Source organism: Homo sapiens, chromosome 1, assembly GCF_000001405.40.
Source record: "Homo sapiens chromosome 1, GRCh38.p14 Primary Assembly".
Classification (NCBI taxonomy): Eukaryota; Metazoa; Chordata; class Mammalia; order Primates; family Hominidae; genus Homo; species Homo sapiens.
In genome coordinates this window covers 174,113,731-174,137,559 of record NC_000001.11, presented here as the reverse complement: position 1 = coordinate 174,137,559, position 23,829 = coordinate 174,113,731, and the positions used below count along the sequence as shown (strand labels likewise).

At 39.9% G+C, this 23,829-nt stretch overlaps 1 long non-coding RNA gene across 1 annotated transcript in view, besides 2 other annotated features; it reads left to right on the top strand.

Moving 5' to 3' along the window:
- The window catches only part of RABGAP1L-DT (RABGAP1L divergent transcript), a 37,650-nt gene extending 21,728 nt beyond the window's left edge, over positions 1–15,922 (top strand). The window contains exon 4 of the long non-coding RNA NR_121197.1: positions 15,774–15,922. This is a non-coding gene — a long non-coding RNA (RABGAP1L divergent transcript). The remainder of the gene's footprint in view (positions 1–15,773) is intronic.
- Positions 5,975–6,269: a silencer, noted in NCBI's record as "tiled region #797; K562 Repressive non-DNase unmatched - State 20:ReprD". NCBI's record gives its function as "represses a minimal TATA promoter and a strong SV40 promoter by Sharpr-MPRA in K562 cells {active_cell/tissue: K562}" and the evidence as "EXISTENCE:reporter gene assay evidence [ECO:0000049][PMID:27701403]".
- Positions 22,545–22,604: a silencer, noted in NCBI's record as "silent region_1560". NCBI's record gives its function as "represses an Ori minimal core promoter by ATAC-STARR-seq in GM12878 lymphoblastoid cells {active_cell/tissue: GM12878}" and the evidence as "EXISTENCE:reporter gene assay evidence [ECO:0000049][PMID:35858748]".

Sequence of the window (23,829 nt, the reverse complement as noted above, 5' to 3'; positions counted from 1 at the left end):
CTGGCCAACATGGTGAAACCCTGTCTCTACTAAAAATACAAAAATTAGCCGAGCATGGTAGCGGGTGCCTGTAATCCCAGCTACTCAGGAGGCTGAGGCATGAGAATTGCTTGAACCTGGGAGGCAGAGTTTGCAGTGAGCTGAGATTGCACCACTGCACTGTAGCCTGGGTGACAGAGTGAGACTCTATCTCAAAAAAAAAAAAAAAGAATTAAGCAATATTTATTATGAATACTTATATTTCATACTTATTATGAAAAATTCTTGAAAATTATAAAGCCTTATATAAAGCCCCAGGATTAAGGGAAAAGAAAGTAGTCCAGATTTGATAATTCAGATTTTTAAAAAATATAGTAGACTGCATGATGGATTAGAGCAAAGAACATGGAGTCACTCTTCTTTGCTCTAATCCATCATGCATTCTACTATATTTTAAAAAAAATATAGAGATATATTAGGAAGCCATACAAATAGTCAGTGAGGGTGTGGTACCAGCTTGTAGCAGGGGTAAGAGACAAGATATGCAATAGTATCAGTAATAATAAAATCAGGAGATATTAGTATTAGAAGTAAGATATTGATAGAATTAGATAAGGAAGTGGATATGAAAGTAATTTTGAAACTGTATGCAATATGAGCCATCCCACGCAGATTCATTTCTTTTTTGGGTAATTCTTCAGATGCTGAATAAATCTATGAAAAAGAGAGAAAATGACACTTCATTCAAGAATACCCTTCTGGAACCCAGGAGGGGTTCAAGGGTATTCAAGAATAGCCTTCTGGAACCCAGGAGTGGAAAAATAATTGGGCTTCTTGCATATGAAAGTCTTCTGAAGGAAAGAAGACAGAAAAATGTTAAAATAGTACTTTTGAAACAGAATTAGCCTCTTGGGAGAAGACAAATTCGTTTGTGAGAAGTACAGTAGATGGCCAAGTATGATATTGACTGGCATAAAAAGACTAACTTGCCTAACACTGTATTCCCCAGTAGTCATGCTACAATGGTCAATGTTTACTGTTTTGAATTTTGAAATACTGAAGGTTTCTGTTATACATATATATATATATAAAAAAACAGAAAGTTATATATATAACAGAAAGTTATAAATATATATAAAACAAAGATATATATAACAGTAAGTTATATATATATATAACAGAAAATTATATATATAACAGAAAGTTACATATATATATAACAGAAAGTTATATATATATAACAGAAAGTTATATATATATATAACAGAAAGTTATATATATATATAACAGAAAGTTATATATATATAACAGAAAGTTATATATATATATAACAGAAAGTTATATATATATAACAGAAAGTTATATATATATATAACAGAAAGTTATATATATATAACAGAAAGTTATATATATATATAACAGAAAGTTTTATATATATATAACAGAAAGTTTTATATATATATAATTTTGGAATAATTCATCAAGGAAATGAATGGAGCTTGCTATAAAATGCCAGCAGAGGAACCCACTAGTAGAGAGGGAGCTTTTAAGGGCACAAAGCTTGTTGAAAAGGTATGACCTTAAAAGTAATTAATGTATCATTTATTTTTACCTAAAATGATGAGAAGAAAAAGCAATATAGGACAGGAGAATTTTGCTGAAGAGGCAGGGGACCATGAATGGTCTCATACTGGCATTGACAACATCTGGCATTGTTATACTGTGACAGTCTCCCACCCTTCATTCCTGGTTGCTATGTGTAATATGAGGCAGAATAATGGGCAATACCTTAGGAGAATTGCTCCCTAAATATTAGGTCCTTCTAGCAGTGCATGGAACTAGAAAGAGGAATTGTCATATACTGAGATAGGGAAAATTTTAGGAGGAGCAACTTCAAGGTGGAAGAAGGGCAGACTCTGGAGTTAAACTTTAGATGCATAAAGGTTTAGATGCCTATTAAGTATCCCAATAGAGACGTCAAATCAGCAGTTAGATTATAAAGTTGGATTTATAAGACCGGAGTTCAGGAGAGAGGTCTGAGCTAGAGACAAAAATTTGAGATTGCCAGTAATAGGGAAGTTATTTAAAGCCATGAAACTGAATGACATCACCAAGGGAAAGAATGGAAATGAAGAGAAAAGGGCAAAGGGCTGAGCCCTAGATCACTTCAACATTTATAGGCTGAGATGAGGATGAACTCTCAAAAGAGACTGTGGCTGATGAAGCAGACAGGAAATCAGCAAAGTATGCTATATAGGAGCCAAATAAGTATAGTGTTTCAAGGAGAAAGGAATGAGCAGCTGGTATTGAATGGTTAAGAAGGAAAGAAGTGAGAATTCCAATATCAGTCCTGGATTTCAAGGAAATGAAGATAACAAAGATTTTTTGTTTATTTGCTAGCTTCCTTTTAAAAATCACAGCTAGGCCGGGCGCGGTGGCTCATGCCTGTAATCCCAGCACTTTGGGAGGCCAAGGCAGGCGGATCACGAGGTCAGGAGATTGAGACCATCCTGGCTAGCATGGTGAAACCCTGTCTCTACTAAAAATACAAAAAATTAGCCGGGCGTGGTGGCGGGTGCCTGTAGTCCCAGCTGCTCAGGAGGCTGAGGCAAGAGAATGGCGTGAACCCAGGAGGTGGAGCTTGCAGTGAGCCGAGATTGCGCCACTGCACTCCAGCCTGGGCGACAGAACGAGACTCCGTCTCAAAAAAAAAAAAAAAAAAAAATCACAGCTAGAGAGGTAATGATTCTTACTGCCTTTAAGATAGACATATCTTTATGAAGATGTGAACTATCTTTATAAAGATTATAATCAGATTATTCATTGAAATTACTACACTTCCAAAATAGTCATATTTACTTATTGAGTTCCTTTCATGAAGAAGACTCTGTGCTAGTTGCAGGAGAAAAAAAGATAAGTAAAATATGGGCCCTATCTCAAAAAATAATTATTGCTACCATATTCTGTTACCTACTATATACTCGGCATTGTGCTAGGCACTTTACAAATATTACCTCAAATATATAAACAAATATATAATTACCTCAATATATAATTATATATAGCAAATATATAATTACCTCAATATATAATTATATATAACAAATATATAATTACCTCAATTATAAATAACTATATATAATTATATAACAAATATATAATTACCTCAAATATATAAACAAATATAGGTATTTTTATAATCACTTTAAAGATAAGAAAATTGAGGTACTGACAGGTTAAATGACTTGACCAAGTCATTTGTGTACTAGTAATAAGAGGAGGAACCATGTGTGTATGTGTGTGTGAAAGAAAGAGACCATTTATTTAACTCAGCAGTTTTATGGTTCAGTAATTTGGGCTGGACTTTGATGGGCAGCTTTTCTGGTCTCAGTTGAACTGGTTTATGCATCTGCAGTCAATTTCCAGGAACCTAAGAGGTTCTGCTTTTAGAGTTTAGCAAAAAGCAGCCAGGAGATGGGGATGACTGCACTATATGTCTCTCATCCTGCATCAGGCTAGTACCAGCTTATTCACATGGACTAGCAGGTTTCCAAGCAGAAGTACGCAAGTCTCGTAAGGCCTGGACTCAGAACTGGCACACAATATTACTTCTTCCACATTGTATTGGTCAAAGCAAGTCACAAGGACCCCATACAAGGTGTGGGGAAACTGCCCAATAAATACGCCCACAACATCTTGCACTTAGTAGATGCTCTGTAAGTGCTTATTGAACAAATGATGACTTCAGTCTTTTTTTTTCTTTTTTTTTTTTCCTTTTTGAGACGGAGTCTTGCTCTGTCACCCAGGCTGGTGTGCAGTGGCACAATCTCGGCTCATTGCAACCTCTGCCTCCCAGGTTCAAGCAATTCTCATGGCTCAGCCTCCTGAGTAGCTGGGATTACAGGCGCGCCACCACACCCAGATAATTTTTCATATTTTTAGTAGAGATGGGGTTTCACCATGTTGTCCAGGGTGGTCTCTAACTCCTGATCTCAGGTGATCCGCCCGCCTCGGCCTCTCAAAGTACTGGGATTACAGACATGAGCCACCACACCCAGCCCACTCCTATTTTTCGTTTCAGAATAGCAAATGATAAGTGCAAGAAATGGGGGCAAGAGGCGGCCCCAATGAGGATCTCAGTGAACAAGCTTAGCTGGCCCCAAAAAAAGCTCCTCTAAAGAGATCCAGGGCATCCTCAGAAACCTAGTATTTGGCCCAAGCCTGGCCACCTGAATTAGAAGCTACATGCCCTTTGTTATGGGTAGAGAAAAACTTCTAGACTTTTGTCAGGGCATGGAGACAGTCTCCTTTGATTCCCCCACCCCCCAAATTTAACAACTTTATTAAGACATAAATGATGCAGAAAAAATTGCACATATTTAAAACGTGCAAAAAATTTTTTGAGGCAGGGTCTCATTCTGTCATCCAAGCTGTAGTGCAGTGGCGTGATCATGGCTCACTGCAGGCTCAATTTCCCAAGTGCAAGCCATCTTTTGCCTCAGCCTCCCAAGTAGCTGGAACTACAGGTGTGAGCCACCATGCCCAGCTAATTTTTGAAAAAGTTCTTGTAGAGATGAGGTCTCACTATGTTGCCCAAGCTGGCCTCAAACTCCCGAGCTCAAACCATCTACCTGCCTTGGCCTGCCAAAATACTGGAATTACAGGCATGAGCCACTATGCCTGGCCTAAAGTGTGCAATTTGATACCTCTTGACATATATAAACACCTGTGAAACTATCACCACCACCAAGATAATTATATCTATCACCCCAAATTTTCTCATGCCCCTTTCCCTCATGCCTCTCTCTGTCTATTCCTTCCCAGGAAACCACTAATTTGCTTTCTGTCACTGTAGGTTAGTTTGCATTTTCTAGAATTTTATTTAAGTAAAATCACACACACTTTTTTGTCCAGCTTCTTTCGTTCAGCATAATTATTTTGAGATTCACCCATGTTGTGTGTATCAATACTTCTTCCTTTTTATTGCTGACTAATATTTCTCTGTATAGTTACTCTTCAATTACAGTCATCCCTCAGTTTTCTTGGGGACTGGTTTCAGGATTCCCACGTTTACCAAAATCTGCACACGTTCAAGTCCCACAGTCAGCCCTGCAGAAAGAACCCTTGTATAAAAGAGAAGTTGCCCTGTTGTATACATGGGTTTTGCATCTCTTGAATACTGTATTTTCAATCTGCATTTGGTTGAAAAAAATTCATAAATAAGTTCACCTGCATAGGTCAAACCCATGTTGTTCAAGAGTGAAATGTTTTTATCTGTGTACTTGCTGATGTACTTTTTGGGTTGTGGTAGCCAATTTTTTGTTGTTGTTCAATTAACTTATTAATTTATTTTTTTGAAGGAGTGTATCAGTTCGTTTTCACTCTGCTATGAAGAAATACCTGAAACTGAGTAATTTATAAGAAAAGAGGTTTAATTGGCTCATAGTTCTGCAGGCTGTACAGGAAGCATAGCAGCTGGCATCTGCTGAATTTCTGGAGAGGCCTCAGAAAACTTAAAATCATGGCAGAAGGCAAAGGAGGGGTGAAGGCCTCACATGGCCAGAGCAGGAGAAAGTCGGGGAGGTGCTACACACTTTTAAACAACCAGATCTTGTGAGAACAAAATCACTATACAGTACAAAGAGGGGACACTGCTAAACCATTAGAAACTGCCCCCATCAGGGCCAAGGTGGCCGACTAGAAGCAGTGGTGATTGGAGGCTCCCATCAAAAAGGACCATAATAAGCATGTGAATCCTTCACCAGCAACCAAGGTATTCAGGTTCTCATCAGAATGGACTAGGGGACTGGCGTGACCCACGGAGAGGAAAGAAGAGCAGTGTAGTGAGGTGGCCCACCTGAGAGCCACACAGGGCAGTGGAGTCCCCAGCCCACAGCCAAGGGAGGTGGTGAGTGGGCATGGTAGCCAGCTGGGGAAACAGTGCTTTTTCCACAGAACTGGGCGGCCCACAGATCAGAAGATCCCACTCGCAAACCCATGCCACTAGGGCCTAGTGTCCCAACCCCAGAGCCGTACATATTCTCAATAGCCTCTCAGCTAGAATCTGCTTAAGCCTACCAAGCTCCTGGGGGGAAGGGGCAACCAGCACCACGGTTGCAGCTGCCTGCTGTCTAAGCCATTTGAGCTCCTTGGGGGAGGGGCAGCAGCCAGCACTGGGACTCACAACTGCCTAACACACTGAGCTCCCTGGGCAGGGGAAGGATGGCAGCCATCTCTATGGCTCCAGGCCACACTTTTCCCCTGCTGGGGCCAGGAAGGCTGGACGGCTTGGTCCCAAGATGTGTCCCCCACAGCCCAACACACTGGCTGTGACATACTGTGTCCAGAGTGCCTCTTCAAGCCTGACCCTGACTCATCCTTCCTCACTGGGCAGGGCTTCCCTGCAGGGACTCCAGTAACTCCAGCCAGAGGCTCAGGGACAGAACCCGGATCTCCTGGGCCTGAGCCCCTAGGGGGAGGAGTTGCCACAGTCTCTGGACCAGCAGACTTAGCCTTTCCTCCTGGTAGTTCTGAGGAATCCAGGCAGCCCAGAGGAGTGGGTTTCCCACCCAGCAAAGCACACCCCTCCACCAAGGGACAAAGTACTTCATTAAACAGGTCCTGTTCCCTATGCCACCCAACTGGGTGAGACCCTCCAACAGGTGTTGTCAGACACCCTATACAGGAGTGATCCTACTGGCATCAGTTTGGTGCCCCTTGAGGTCAGAGGTCCCAGAAGAAGGAGCAGGCACTCATCTTTGCTGTTCTCCTCCTTGAGTGACATCTCCAGGCACAAGAACGAACCAGATGAATAGGGCCTGAAGTGGAACCCCCCAGCAAATCGCAGTATCCCTACAGAAGAGGGATCTGACCATTGAAAGAAAAACAAACAAACAAACAGTAACAACACAGCAAAAAGCCCCCACAAAAACCCCATCCAAGGATCAGCAGCCTCAAAGATCGAAACTACACAAACTCATGAAGATCAGAAAGAATCAACAAAAAAATGCTGAAAACCCAAAAGGCCAGAGTGCCTCTTCCCCTCCAAATGATTGCATTGTCTCTCCAGAAAGGGCGCAGAACTGGACGGAGGATGAGATGGGTGAATTGACAGAAGTAGGCTTCAGAAGATGGATAATAAAAAACTATGCTGAGCTAAAGGAGCATGTTCTAATTCAATATGAAGAAGCTAAGAACCTTGATAAAAGGTTAGAGGAGCTGCCAGCTAGAATAACCAGCTTAGAGAGGAACATAAGTGATCTGATGGAGCTGAAAAACACAGCACGAGAACTTTGTGAAGCATACACATTATCAATAGCTGAATCGACCAGGCAGAAGAAAGGATATCAGAGTTTGAAGACCACCTTGCTGAAATAAGGCATGCAAACAAGGCTAGAGAAAAAAGAATGAAAAGGAATGAACAAAGCCTCCAAGAAATATGGGACTTCGTAAAAAGACAGAACCTATGATTGATTGGAGTACCTGAAGGAGATGGGGAGAATGGAAACAAGCTGGAAAACACACTTCAGGCTATTCAGGAGAACTTCCCCAACCTAGCAAGAAAGGCCAACATGCAAATTCACAAAATACAGAGAGCACCACCAAGATACTCCATGAGACGATCAACCCCAAGACACATAATCATCAGATTCTCCAAGGTTGAAATGAAGGAAAAAAATGTTAAGGACAGCCAGAGAGAAAAACCAGGTCACCTACAAAGGGAAGTCCATCAGACTAACAGTGGAGCTCTCAGCAGAAACTCTACAAGGCAGAAGAGATGGGGGGGCCAATATTCAACATTCTCAAAGAAAATAATTTTCAACCCAGAATTTCATATCCAGCCAAACTAAGCTTCATAGTGAAGCAGAAATAAAACCCTTTCCAGACAAGCAAATGCTGAGGGATTTCATTATCACAAGGCCTGCCTTGTAAGAGCTCCTGAAAGAAGCACTAAATATGGAAAGGAAAACTGCTACCAGCCACTGCAAAAACACATCAAAATATAAAGACCAATGACACTATGAAGAAACTGCATCAACTAGTGTGCAAAATAACCAGACAGCATCATGACAGAATCAAATTTACACATAATAATACTAACTTTAAATGTAAAAGGGCTAAATGCCCCAGTTAAAAGACACAGACTGGCAAATTGGATAAAGAGTCAAGACCCATCAGTGTGCTGTATTCAGGAGACCCATCTCATGTGCAAAGACACACATAGGCTCAAAATAAAGGGATGGAAGAAAATTTACCAAGCAAATGTAAGGCAAAAAAAAAAAAGCAAGGGTTGCAATCCTAGTCTCTGACAAAACAGACTTTAAATCAACAAAGATTAAAAAAAGACAAACAAGGGCATTACCTAATGGTAAAGGGAACGATTCAACAAGAAGAGCTAACTGTTCTAAATATATATGCACCCAATACAGGAGCACCCAGATTCATAGAGCAAGTTCTTAGAGACCTACAAGGAGACTTAGACTCCCACACAATAATAGTGGGAGACTTTAACACCCCACTGTCAATATTAGATCAATGAGACAGAAAATAAACAAAGATATTCAGGACTTGAACTCAGCTCTGGATCAAGTGGAACTAATAGACATCTACAGAACTCTCCACCCCAAGTCAACAGAATATACATTCTTCTCAGTGCTACATGGCACTTATTCTAAAATCAACCACAGAATTGGAATTAAAGGACTCCTTAGCAAATGCAAAAGAATTGAAATCATAACAAACAGTCTCTCAGACCACAGTGCAATCAAATTAGAACTCAGAATAAAGAAACTCACTCAAAACCACACAATTACATGGAAATTGAACAACCTGCTCCTGATTGACTACTGGGTAAATAATGAAATTAAGGCAAAATCAAAAAGTTATTTGAAACCAATGAGAACAAAGAGACAATATACCAGAATCTCTAGGCTACAGCTAGTTAAGCAGTGTTAAGAGGGAAATTTATAGCACTAAATACCCACATTGGAAAACTAGAAAGATCTCAAATTGACACCCTAACATCACAATTAAAAGAGCTAGAGAGGCAAGAGCAAACTAATCCAAAAGCTAGCAGAAGACAAGAAATAACTAAAATCAAAGCAGAATTAAAGGAGATAGAGACATGAAAAACCCTCCAAAAAATCAATGAATCCAGGGGCGGATTTTTTTAAAAAATTAACAAAATAGACTGCTAGCTCAATTAATAAAGAAGAAAAGAGAGAAGCATCAAATAGGCACAATAAAAAATGATAAAGGGGATATCACCACTGACCCCATGGAAATACAAACTACCATCAGAGAATGCCATAAACACCTCTACACAAATAAACTAGAAAATCTAGAAGAAATGGATAAATTCCTGGACACATACACCCTCCCAAGACTCAACTAGGAGAAGTCCAATCCCTGAGTAGACCAATAACAAGTTCTGAAATTGAGGCAGTAATTAATAGCCTACCAACCAAAAAAATTAAAAAGCCCAGGACCAGATGGATTCACAGCCAAATTCTACCAGAGTTACAAAGAGGAGCTGGTACCATTCCTTCTGAAATTATTCCAAATAATTGAAAAGGAGGGACTCCTCCCTAACTCATTTTATGAAGCCAGCATCATCCTGATACCAAAACCAGGAACAGACCCAAGAAAAGAAAGAAAACTTCAGGCCAATATCCCTGATGAACATCAATGTGAAAATCCTCAATAAAATACTGGCAAACCAAATCCAGCAGCACATCAAAAAGCTTATCCATCATTTTCAAGTTGGCTTCATCCCTGGGATACAAGGCTAGTTCAACATATGCAAATCAATAAACATAATCCATCACATAAACAGAACCAATGACAAAAACCACGTGATTATCTCAATAGATGCAGAAAAGGCCTTCAATAAAATTCAACATCCCTTCATGTTAAAAGCTCTTAATAAACTAGATATTGATGGAACGTATGTCAAAATAATAAGAGCTATTTTTGGCAAACCCACAGCCAATATCATATTGAATGGGCAAAAGCTGGAAGCATTCTCTTTGAAAACCAGTACAAGACAAGAATGCCCGCTCTCACAACTCCTATTCAACATAGTATTGAAAGTTCTGGCCAGGGCAATCAGGCAAGAGAAAGAAATAAAAGTGTATTCAAATAGGAAGAGAGGAAGTCAGATTGTTTCTGTATGCAGATGACATGATTGTATATTTAGAAAACCCCATCATCTCAGCCCAAAACTTCCTTAAACTGATAAGCAAATTCAGCAAAGCCTCAACATACAAAATCAATGTGCAAAAATCACAAGCCTTCCTTTACACCAATAATAGACAAGCAGAGAGCCAAATCATGAGTGAATTCCTATTCACAATCACTACAAAGAGAATAAAATACCTAGGAATACAGCTAACAAGGGATGTGAAGGACCTTTTCAAGGAGAACTACAAACCACTGCTCAAGGAAATAAGAGAGGACACAAACAATTGGAAAAACATTCCAACCTCATGGATAGGAAGAGTCCATATCTTGAAAATGGCCATACTGCCCAAAGTAGTTTATAGATTCAATGCTATCCCCATCAAATTACCACTGACATTCTTCACAGAATTAGATAAAACTACTTTAAATTTCATATGGAATCAATGAAGTCCCTGTATAGCCAAGACAATCCTAAGCAAAAAGAACAAAGGTGGAGGCATCGCGCTACCTGACTTCAAACTATACTACAAGGCTACAGTAACCAAAACAGCATGGTACTGGTACCAAAACAGACATATAGACCAATGGAACAGAACAGAGACCTCAGAAATAATGTCATACATCTACAACCATCTGATCTTCAACAAACCTGACAAAAACAAGCAATGGGGAAAGGATCTCCTATTCAATAAATGGTGCTGGGAAAACTGGCTACCCATATGCAGATAATTGAAACTGGATCCCTTCCTTTCGCCTTATACAAAAATTAACTCAAGATGGATTAAAGACTTAAATGTAAAACCCAAAACCATAAAAACCCTTGAAGGAAACGTAGGCAGTACCATTTAGGACATAGGCATGGGCAAAACTTCATGACAAAAATGCCAAAAGCAATTGCAACAAAAGCCAAAATTGACAAATGGGATATAATAAAACTAAAGAGCTTCTGCACAGCAAAATAAACTATCATCAGTGTAAACAGGCAACCTACAGAATGGGAGAAAATTTTTGCAATTTACCCATCTGACAAAGGTCTGATATCCAGAATTTACAAGGAACTTAAACAAATTTACAAGAAAAAAAAAACCCTATCAAAAAGTGGGCAAGGGTTATGAACAGACACTTCTCAAAAGAAGATTTTTATGCATCCAACAAACATATGAAAAAAAGCTCAACATCAATGATCATTAGAGAAATGCAAAACAAAACAACAATGAGATACCATCTCATGACAGTCAGAATGGTGATTATTAAAAAGGCAAGAAATAATAGTGGTTGGCAAGGTTGTGGAGAAATAGGAATGCTTTTACACTGTTGATGGGAATGTAAATTAGTTCAACCATTGTGGAAGACAGTATGGCGATTCCTGAAGGATCTAGAACCAGAAATACCATTTGACCCAGCAATTCCATTACTCGGTAAATACCCAAAGGAATATAAATCATTCTGCTATAAAAACATATGCACATGTATGTTTGTTGCAGCACTATTTATAATAGCAAAGTCATGGAACCAACCCAAATGCCCATCAATGATAGACTGGATAAAGAAAATGTGGTACATATATACTATGGAATACTATGCAGCCATTAAAAGGAATGAGATCATGTCCTTTGAGGGGACATGGATGAAGCTGGAAGCCATCATCCTCAGCAAACTAACACAGGAATAGAAAACCAAACACCGCATGTTCTTATGCATAAGTGGGAGTTGGTCAGTGAGAACACATGGACACAGGGAGAGGAACAACACACACCAGAGCCTGTTGGGGGCATGGGGCGAGGGGAGGGAACTTAGAGGATGGATCAATAGGTGCAGCAAACCACCATGGCACATGTATACCTATGTAACATACCTGCATGTATTCTGCACTTGTATCCTGGAACTTAATGTAAAAGAAAAAATTTTAAGAAAAAGAAACTGCCCCCATGGGCCAATCACCTCCCACCAGGCCCCACCTTCACCACTGGGGATTACAATTTGACATGAGATTTGGGTGGGGACACAGATCCAAACCATATCATTCTTCCTTTGGCCCTTTCAAATCTCATGTCCATCTTACATTGCAAAATACAATCATCCCTTCTCAACCATCCCCCAAAGCCTTAACCCATTTCAGCATTAACTCAAAAGTCCAAAGTCTCATCTGAGACAAGCCAAGTCCCTTCCACCTATGAGCCTGTAAAATCAAAAACAAGTTAGTTACTCCCAAGATACAATGGGAGTACACGCATTGGGTAAATACTCCCATTCCAAAAGAGAGAAATCAGCCAAAAGAAAGGGGCTACAGGCCTCATGCAAGTCCAAAACCCAGCAGGAAAGTCATTAAATCTTAAAGTTCCAAAATAATCTCTTTTTACTCTGTGTCCCACATCCAGGGCACACTGGTATGAGGGGTGGACTCCCAAAGTCCTGGGCAGCTTCACCCCTGTGGCTTTGCAGGGTTCAACCCACACAGCTGTTCTCAGGGGCTGATGTTGAGTGCCTCTGCCTTTTCCAGACACAGGGTGCAAGCTGCCAATGGATCTACCATTCTGGGATCTGGAGGACAATGGCCCTCTTCTTCTCACAGCTCCACTAGGCAGTGTCCCAGTGGAGACTAAATATGGGGGTTCCAACCCCACATTTCCCCTCTCCACTGTCCTAGTAGAGGTTCTCTGTGAGGGCTCTACCCCTGCAACAAGCTTCTGTCTGAATATACAGGCTTTTCCATACATCCTCCATACATACATAGGCAGAGGCTCCCAAGCCTCAACTCTTGCATTCTGTACACCCACAGGCTTAACACCACATGAAAGCCACCAAAGCTATGGATTGCACATTTTGAAGCAGCTGCCTGAGCTGTACCTAGGCCCCTTTGAGCCGAGGCTGGACCTGGAGCAGCTGGGACACAGGGAGCAGTGTCCCAAGGCTGTGCAGAATGGTGGGGCCCTGAACCTGGCCCAAAAACCATTCTTCTTTCCTAGGTCTCTGGGCCTGTGGTAGGAAGGGCTGCCACAAAGATCTATGAAATGCCTTCCAGCCCTTTTCCCCATTGTCTTGGCTATCAGCGTTTGCTTTCCTTTTACTTTTGCAAATTTCTGCAGCCTGCTTGAATTCCTCCCCAGAAAATAGGCTCTTCTTTTCTACCACATGGCCAGTCTGCAAATTTTCCCAACTTTTACATTCTGCTTCCCTTTTAAACATAAGTTCCAGTTTTATGTCATTTCTTTGCTCATGCATATGAGCATAGGCTGTTAGATGCAGCCAGGCCAAATCTAGAATGCTTTGCTGCTTAGAAATGTCTTCCTCCAGATACCCTGGATATCATCACTCTCAAGTTCAAAGTTTCATAGATCTCTAGGGAAGGGCCACAATGCCTCCAAGTTCTTTGCTAAAGTATAACAAAAGTGACCTTTGCTCCAGTTCCCAATAAATTCCTCATTTCTATCTGGAGACTTCCTCAGCCTGGCCTTCACTGTCTAGCATTTTGATCACAACCATTGATCACTACCAGCATTTTGACCACAACCATTCAAGTTTAGGAATTTTTAAACTTTTCCTCATCTTCCTGTCTTCTTCTGAGCCTTGCAAACTGTTCCAGCCTCTGCCTGTTACCCAGTTCCAAAGCTGCTTCACATTTTCAGGTATCTTTATAGCAATCCCCGACTCCTGGTAAGAACTTTCTATATTAGTCTGTTATCACTGCTCTAAATAAATACCTGAGACAGGGTAATTTATAAAGAAAAGAGGTTTAATTTGCTCACAGTTCTGCAGGCTGTATGGGAAGCATAGTGGCTGGCATCTGCTTGTCTTCTGGGGAGGCCTTAGAAAACTTACAATCATGGCAGAAGGCATGAGGTGACTGAGCACCTCACATCACCAGAGCAGGAGGAAGGTGGGGGAAGGTGCTACACATTTTTAAACAACTAGATCTTGTGAGAACTCACTGTACAGTACCGAAGGCAGATGGTGCTAAACCATTAGAAACTGTTCCCATGATCCAATCACCTCCCACCAGGCCCCAACTCCAACACTGGGGACTACGTTTCAATATGAGATTTGGATGGGGACACAGATCCAAACCATATCAGGGAATATCCACCACCTCAAGTGTTTATCCTTTGTATTACAAACAATCCAATTATACTCTTTTAGTTATTTTAAAATGTAGAATTAAATTATCAACTCAGGTCACCCCATTGTGCTATCACATACTAGATCTTATTCATTGTTTCTGATATGGTTTGGCCCAAATCTCATGTCAAATTGTAATCCCCATTGTTGGAGGTGGGGCCTGGTGGGAGGTGACTGGATCATGGGGGCAGTTTCTCATAAATGGTTTAGCACCATCGCCCTAGTGCTGTTCCCATGATAGAGTTCTCATGAGATCTGGTTGTTTAAAAGTGTGTAGTACCTCTGCCCCTCTCTCTCTTCCTCCTGCTCTGGCCATGTAAGACATGCTTGCTTCATTTTCACCTTCTGCCATGACTGTAAGTTTCCAGAGGCCTCCCCAGAAGCCAAAGAGAAGCCACTATGACTCCTATACAGCCTACAGAACTATGAGCCAATTAAACCTCTTTTCTTTATAAATTACCCAGTCTCAGGTATTTATAGTAGTGTGAGAACTGCCTAATATAGTTTCTAACTATTTTTTGTATCCATTAACCATCTCTACTTCCCCCACATTCCCCCACAACCCTTCCCAGCTTCTGGTAACTATCATTCTACTCTCTATCTCCATGAGTTCAGTTGTTTTAATTTTTAGCTCCCACTAATAAGTGAGAATATGTGAAGTTTGTCTTTCTGTCCCTGGCTTATTTCACTTAACATAATGACCTCCAGTTTCATCCATGTTGTTGCAAATGACAGGATCTCATTCTTTTTCATGAGTGAATAGTACTTCACTGTGTATAAGGACCATATTTTCTTTATCTGTTCATCTGTTGATGGGCACTTAGATTGCTTTCAAATCTTAGCTATTATGAATAGTGCTGCAGTAAACATAGGAGTGCAGATATCTCTTTGATGTACTGATTTTCTTTCTTTTGAGTACGTATATGCCTAGCAGTGGGATTGTAGGATCATATGGTAGCTCTATTTTTAGTTTTTTGAGGATCCTCCAAACTGCTCTCCATAGTGGTTTACACTAATTTACATTCCCGCTGACAGTGTACAAGGCTTCTATTTTCTCCACATTCTCACCAGAATTTGTTTTGTTTTTTAGAAACAGGCTCTTGTTCTGTCACCCATACTTGGAGTGCAGTGGTACAATGATAGCTCACTGCAGCCTCAAACTCCTGGTCTCAAGCAATCCTCTCACCTCAGCCTCCCAGGTAGCTAAGTTTTTAAATCCAGTTTTGCTTGACTTGAATGTCTATGACTTTATCAACTGTGGAATACAGTTTGTTATGGGCTGAATTGTGTCTCCCCCACCCCAATTCATATGTTGAAGCCTTAACCCCCAATGTGACTGTATTTTGAGATACGGTCTTTAGGGAGGTAATTAAGGTTAAATGAGTTCCTAAGGGTGGGTTCCTAATCCAACAGGACTGGTGTCATTACAAGAGGAAGAAACCCCACAGTGCATGCTTATGCACACCTCTCTCTCCCTCTCTCTCACCCGCACACAGAAAAAAAAGGCCTTATGAAGACATTGCAAAAGGACAACTATCTGCAAACCAGGAAGACAGACCTCACCAGAAATCAACCCTGCTGGTGGTACCTTGATCTTAGACTTCCAGCCTCCAGAAGTATGAGAAAATAAATATCTGTAATTTAAGTCACCTAGTCTATGGTATTTTGTTATGGCAACCCTAGCACACTAATGCACACTTCAATTGAAAGAATTAGTGATATCTCAAATTCAACAAGTGCAAAATGAACCCAAGATCTTCCCCACCAGAACTTGGTCCTCTATTAGCATGCTTGATCTCTCTGAATGACACCACTATTTAACCTGTTATGGTAGCCCAAAACCTAGACATTACTCTTCACATTTTCCTTTCTCTCTCTCACCTGTTCTCTCATTTTTCAGTTTATCTCTCAGTTCTGTCAATTCATTTCTTGACTATTCCTTAAACCCAGACATTTCTGTTTTCCTCCACTGCCATCTCTCTACTTCAAGTACCATTCTCTCTTACCTGGACTAGCCATAGTGTCCTAATTGATCTCTTTTTATTCATTCTTGCTCCCCTATAACTCATTCTTCACATGATAGCCAGAGTGTTATAGTAAAAACCAAAGCCAGGGCCAGGCAAGGTGGCTCACACCTGTAATCCCAGCACTTTGGGAGGCCAAGGCAGGCAGATCACCTGAGGTCAGGAGTTCAAGACCAGCCTGGCCAACATGGCGAAACCCCATCTCTACTAAAAATACAAAATTAGCTGGGCATGGTGGTGCATGCCTGTAGTCCCAGCTACTCATGAGGCTGAGGCAGGAGAACAGCCTGAACCCAGGAGGCAGAAGTTGCAGTAAGCTGAGATCGCACCATTGCACTCCAGCCTGGGCGACAAGAGGGAAACTCCATCTCAAAAAAAAAAAACCCAAAGCCCGATATCAACCTTCTACCAAGAACAGTGCCCAGTACTATTAGAATTAAGACCAAATTTCCTAACATGATCTACAAGGCACTTTATAAGCTGACCCCTGCCTCTCTCTCCAATCTGTTTCACTAGTTCCCCTTATTCTCTGTACTTCAGCCACACTGGCCTTTCCATTCCCTAAATGTGCTTACTTCTCCCAGTCACAGGGCTTTTGAACATGCAGTTTCCTCTGTCTGGACTCTCTCTGTCCTTCTGGCTGACTCTACCTCAATCGTTCTTTCACTAGAGAAACTTTCTGGGACCTCTCTGCCTAAAGTAACTCAACCTATTATGGATCTAACATTACAATGGTAATTTTACATTTGTCTGTATGATTCTTTAATTAATGTCTGTTTTCCCAGTGCCTAGCACAAATATAAATATGATAGGAATTATTGTAAAATGCAGAAATCTTCTAGAAAGGTGTGTGTATGCCCTGAAACTATGTAAAATTCTTTGTACATTGACTGGGTATATCTTTTCTTGCAGAGAAGGGCCACAGTTTATATCATACTTTCATTTATTAGGGGGAAATTAGGGTCAGCAATTGGCCTATTTTTAAATTTTTAGTTGGCCTGGACTTCCCTATTTAAAAGCAAAAGAAGGCCGGGCATGATGGCTCATGCCTGTAAGCCCAGCACTTTGGGAGGGTGAAGTGGGCAGATCACTTGAGGTCAGGAGTTTGAGACCAGCCTGGCCAACATGGCAAAACCCCATCTCTACTAAAAATACAAAAAGTAGCCTGACATGGTAGTGCAACATAATCCCAGCTACTAGGGAGGCTGAGGCAGAATTGCTTGAAGCTGGGGGGCGGAAGTTGCAGTGAGCCGAGATCACACCACTGCGCTCCAGCCTGGGTGACAGATGGAGAGTCCATCTCAAAAAACTAAATTAAATAAATAAATAAATATATATATATATATAATATAAAAGCAAAAGAGGAGAGGGGGAAAATGAGTTAAAGGCCTAATGCTGTTCACATTATAAGGTATAGCTCTAACTTCATTGCATACCAGGGCTGTGTTATACAGAATAGTTAGGAAAATGTTTATTTTCCTCCTTATTGATACAGCACTAAAAATTGATGTCTGTCCTTGGGAGATCAATGTGTATATATGTGCCTGATCCAATAATTGTCTCCCAGATCCTTAGACTGCCAAAACTCTTCCCTAGGCTCTAAACTATGCAACTGGACTTAAGAGTGTAAAGCCCACCAGGAACCCCATCCCTTCCCTATGGTATTATTCTAGACTAAAATGTGCAAGGTGAGGCAATGTGCTACTAAAGATACTCAGATCCATAGACTACCAGGAGATGGGAGGAAGATGTAGCAAACCATTTCTACCATTGAGGGAAATGGCTCAAACCATCTGCAGCAGAAAAATGAAGAGTATCCTCTAACTGGGCAGAGAAGCCTTCTTGAGCAGCAGAGTGCAGGTGGGTAAACCCATAACAGATGTGGAGCAACCCCTTTCACCTTCACTTTTCCCAACCCTACCAAGGAAGGCAATCCTAATCGGTGAGAGTATCATCTAGGGAGGAGGACTGTGAAGGAGGGCTTCCCAAGGGAAAAGACATCTGAGCTACATTTTAAGCTAATAAAAAATTTTCATAAACTATTATGTAAAACTAATAAAAATCTTCATGAGCAGAGTTCAAGGAACTGAAGCATAAGTAGGTAAATATATTTCCCCAAAGAAAATATGAAGCATATGGCTTGGCAGCTGATTTGGCAACAAGACAGAATATTTGAAATTGAGACTCTCTAGAAAATAGAGAGCATATGGTCACTCACAGCATAGGGTGTAGCTTGGGAAAAGGTTCTAAGGTGTGAGAGGAATGAGCCAAGGAAAGAGTACACTGAGATTAAGCAAATGTCTAATGGCATCAGTGTTGATTGCAGGGAGTTAAAAATAGAGCTAAGATATGGAAGCCAACAAGAACCCCTGAAGAGTTTCTCTCTTTACTCTGGTGTGATTGATATTAGCAGCCTCCAGCAATGCCCAGTGGGTAGGCTTTAGAAGAGGGTGATGATGGATTTTGAGGTAATATTGGACATGAAGGTCAGCAAAAAACAGCAAAGCAGTTAGAAAACAGGCAGCAAATACTGCAGCAAAGATACTGATTGCACTTCCTCTAAACTCCCACCTTGTGACAAATGCCAGCATCATAAGTATTTTTATTTAATAGTTTATATGTTCTTTAAATAGAAGAAAAGCTGGGCACAGTAGCTTGCACCTGTAGTCCCAGCACTTTGTCAGGCTGAGGTGGGAGGATCACTTGAGCCCAGGAGTTTGAGACCAGTCTGGGCAACAAAGTGAGACCCCATCTCTAAGTAAATAAGATAAATAAACAAATAAATTAAAAAGACAAAAGATGTAATTTTTTTTCTTTTTGAAAGGGAGAAAATATTTTTAACCTAAAGAAAAAACAGATTGATTAGATAAATTGCATTTTTGTACCACCTACTTAATTCCTTCCTATACAAGGTATACATTTCCAAGCACCCATATTTAAAATAGATAATTCACTCTGAGTATGATACTTTTAGGATTAAAATAAAATAAATTTTGAAAATCTAAACACTTCTTGAGAATGAAATAAAAGAATGAAAAATCAACTAGAAAGCTATTTCAGGGAGGAAATAATTTGTAAAAACCAAGTGGCTAGATGATGATGACAAACCAAATAATGTCAATTAATGAAGGGGATGATAATTACTTTCAGAATGTGAGTTTGCTTCTCCGCATTTCAAGATGGAATTAAGTGGTTAATCTCATATATCTACAATGAAGAAAAACAAACACTTGATAGGAGCAGATAATTCACAAAAGAAGAAATACAAGGCCAAAAGATACATTAAAATGTTAGCCTCACTTGTAATCAATAAAACAATGAGATACCTCTTGGTTTATCCAATTAATGATGATTAAAAAGAATGATAATACTCAGTGTTGTTGAGGGTGGAAGTAGTCTCATAGCTGACTGGTAAGAGCATAAAAAAGGCACAACTTTTCTGGGAGGCAATTTGTCAAGATATAAGAAAACCCTCAAGACTGGTTTTCTTGCAGAGTTACCAAGACTGGTATCTCTGGTGTAAAAATTCAATATCTAATATTTATTTTTGAGAAATAATCAGAAAAACGTTGAAGGATAAATACACAATTTTGGCAGTATTATTTATAAAGACTAACAATGTTTAACAAAATTCAATGATAGCCTGGGAGTGGTGGCTCACGCATGTAATCCCAGCACTTTGGGAAGCCAAGGCAGGAGGATTGTTTGAGTTCAGGAGTTCAAGACCATCCTGGGCAACATAACAAGACTTCCTTTTTACTAAAAATCACAAACATTAGCTGGGCCTGGTGGTGTGCCTGTAGTCCCAGCTACTCAGGAGGCTGAGGCTGGAGGATCGCTTAGCCCAGGAGATTGAGGCTGCAGTGAGATATGATTACACCACTACACTCCAGCCTAAAAAACTCAATGATGTGCTAGGTGTGGTAGCTCACGCCTGTAATCCCAGCACTTTGGGAGGTCGAGGCGGGCAGATCATGAGGTCAGAAGTTCGAGACCAGCCTGGCCAACATGGTGAAACCCCATCTCTACTAAAAATACAAAAAATTAGCTGGGCATGGTGGCACGTGCCTGTAATCCCAGCTACTCAGGAGGCTGAGGCAGGAGGATTGCTTGAACCCAGGAGGCGGAGGTTGTGGTTAGCGGAGATCCCGCCATTGCACTCCAGCCTGGGTGACAGAGCAAGATTCCATCTCAAAAAAAAAAGAAAAAAAAAACTAAATGATGACATGTTATGATACTTCTATACATTGTAAAAGTGTGCAATCATTTGAAATTATATCTATCCAGAAAGAAATCCACAATTCTACCAATAAAGCAGGTTCTGAAATAGTATGCATCATTTGATCCCCCACATTTTAAAAAATTGTATAATTAAAGATATGAGTGTTTACAGAAAAGAATATCGAAATGTTAGTAGTGGCAGAATTATGGATGCTTGTTTCTATTTCTCTTCCAGTATTTTTATTTTATTTAATAAAGATGTATTGCTTATGCAATAGCATTGTAATAACCATTTTAATGAGCAGGAGTATTTTTATTGAAGGTTTCCCCTCCAAAGGATGGAAAATCAAAGTGCAGGAATATGAGGATGTTAGGAAGGTGAAGCTGGTGAGAGATGGGTGTGTTCAGGAGAGATGCCTGTCAGCAAAAACAACAAAGAACTTTTATATATGGTCCAAAGATGAATAGTTAAATGGGTTTTTAGGTTACCACTTTCTTCTATTCCCTTGACCTTAAAAATTCTTCATCTTGATAATTAAGCATTCATAAATTTGGAGGTTATGGAATGGGATGGAGAAAATCTAAGATTTTCTGTCAGCAACTTTATTTTTAAGTGATTTTACATTCTGTCAATGTTTGTCTCATCACCAGGGAAAAAATGGTTCATGGTAGTCTCAACCATCAGAAATATCTCAGGATTTCAAAAATACAATAAGAACACTCATTACTGATGCTTTTTCAGAACTTTCGACATGCTAAAAAGTTCACTAACATCAAAGAGGGTCTGTAATAACTATACAAGCTGAATTAAGCCAATATGACTCATAGGGTCATTGTGAAATATAGAAGGTTACCAAACTGCTTATACACAAAGGTGTCTGTTTCAGTCAAAGTTCTTGGTAAGAATAATTGAGACCAATTCTCTTTGATTTAAGCAGAGCAGTAGTTGATTAAAAGGGTATTGTCTTAGTTATTTGGGTTTCTATTACAAAATACCATTGACTGAGTACCTTACAAACACAAAAATTTATTTCTCACAGTTCTGGAGGCTGAGAAGTCCAAAATCAAGGGACTAGCATATTTGGTGTCTAAGGAAGGCCCCTTACTTCAGTCGTGGATGGCACCTTCTTGTATCCTCACATGGTGTAAGAGGCATTCTTTACAAAGAGACTCAGCTTTCTTGGGGCCTCTTTTATAAGGGCACTAATTTCATTCATAGTGGCTCTGTTCTTATGACCTGATCACCTCCTAAAGGCCCCACCTCCTAACACCATCACATTGGTGATTAGGTTTCAACGTAAGAATTTGGGAGGATACAGACTTTCAGACCATAGCAGATACTGAGTTATACTTCCATTAATTTTTTTTTTTTTTTTTTTTTTTGCCAGATGCAGTGACTCATGCCTATAATCCCAGTACTTTGGAAGGTCAAGGCACAAGGATCCATTGAGGCCAGGAGTCCAAGACCAGCCTGCACAATGTAGCAAGACTCCTTCTCTACAAAAAAATAAATAAAAATTAGCCAGGCATGGTGGTGCACTCCTGTAGTCCCAGCTACTCAAGAGGCTGATGTAGAGAATCGCATTATCCCAGAGGTCAAGGCTGCAGTGAGCCGTGATCATGCCTCTGCACTCCAGCCTGGACGATAGAGCAAGACTTTATCTCAAAAAACAAAAATTTAAAAAGATATCAGGTAGCTCATAGAATTGTTGAGAGGGCTGTAAAACCAGGCTTGAACTTAAACAGCAACGATAAACCACCCACAGAACGGACATGATGAAGAAGTTGGCAAATGTTACCAACTGTCCTGGTTTTTTTGGTGACTGTAGTTTCCAAGGATTCAGATCCTTCCATGCCAAAATCTGAAAAATGCTGGGCAAAGTATGACTGACAATGTGGTAATCTTACAGCTAGCACTAGAGACATCAAGCACTAGACAACACAATTTGCCCTTTGGCCACTTATACAATGGGAACTCACGCTTGCAGTAACCTCTATTGCCACTAGGAGAGAGAAACACAGAAGGAGGAAGGGAGAAGGGAGAGAGAGGAAAAAAACTGTTGCTTGTCTCCTTAGCTGTGAGTCAAAGGTCTAACACAGATGTCTGGCTGAAAAGCCTAGGTCACATGCCTGCACCCCAGAGAAAGTATGTGACATCTTCTGCTTCCATTATGGGAAACAGCCTTTGCTTGTCACGAAGATTTACATGGTGAGACATATCCTAAATATAGGGAAGCTGTTGAAGTGGCCCAAATAATGACCAATTTCTACTAATTTGTACTAATATCCAAATTACTTTTAATTATCTAATATTACTTAGATACAGTGAGGCAACCATTCGTTGGATATATAATGGTTTCTTTGATTTCAAAAATCTTTTTTTATGTAATATATGTCTGAAGACCATCAAAATAAATTCTTAAAGTCAGATTAATAGGATGTTACTTATAATATTATTGTAATTATTTGACCACATAATAGTTTATGCCCATTATATACTATGTAATTGTATGATGGAAATAATGCTGTACTTTGTTTGTAAAAGTTTAATTATCCTGACCTTTGTTCATCATAAAGAATTGCTCCATTTCTATTATTTATCGAGGAAAAAAGTTTCTCTCTTTTTGTTTTTAATATGTCATTAGGAGAAGAGTAGTTACACGTAGGCTAGAGTGTTTGCCAAGAAGAAATTGATTTTAATGGGAACCTTTTATCTAAGACAAACTTTAAGAAGAGCAGTAATGGACAATGTGTTCTGTGCAACTCTTCAGCCTTCAGTCTCACATTCATTGTGGTCAAGTATTTTCAGCAAAGAATAACAAGTCAGAGTTTGTGTATATTTTTCATAGCTGTTCATTCTCTTACAGAGTAACCTTGAACAAACCTCTTAAGATTTGTGTTTTATCTTCATATACTGAAATACAAAATGGGAATGCCTATATTTAATCAAAGATATAATTTTTACTGATAGATAGTAAAGAACAAAACACTGGAACAAGAATTCCTGTCCTGCCTTTCACAATGTGGTTTTGAGGCCTTGGCCATGTCACTTAAATTCTCATATCTGTTTTCTCAATCTATAAATGATCATAATACCTGCACTATCTGTCTCAAATTGCATATGTGAAAGCATCTTAAAGGTACAAAACAATAAATACAAAGCATTATTATTAAATTATTACACCTTCCAGCATTTAATGCTAAAAATGCCAAATGCGTCCTTTGGTTATATGTAGGAAATATGTCTCAGAAAAATCAATTTAAAATTATAGAAGCTAACAGGTAAGTCATTTTAAGTGTGTGGTTA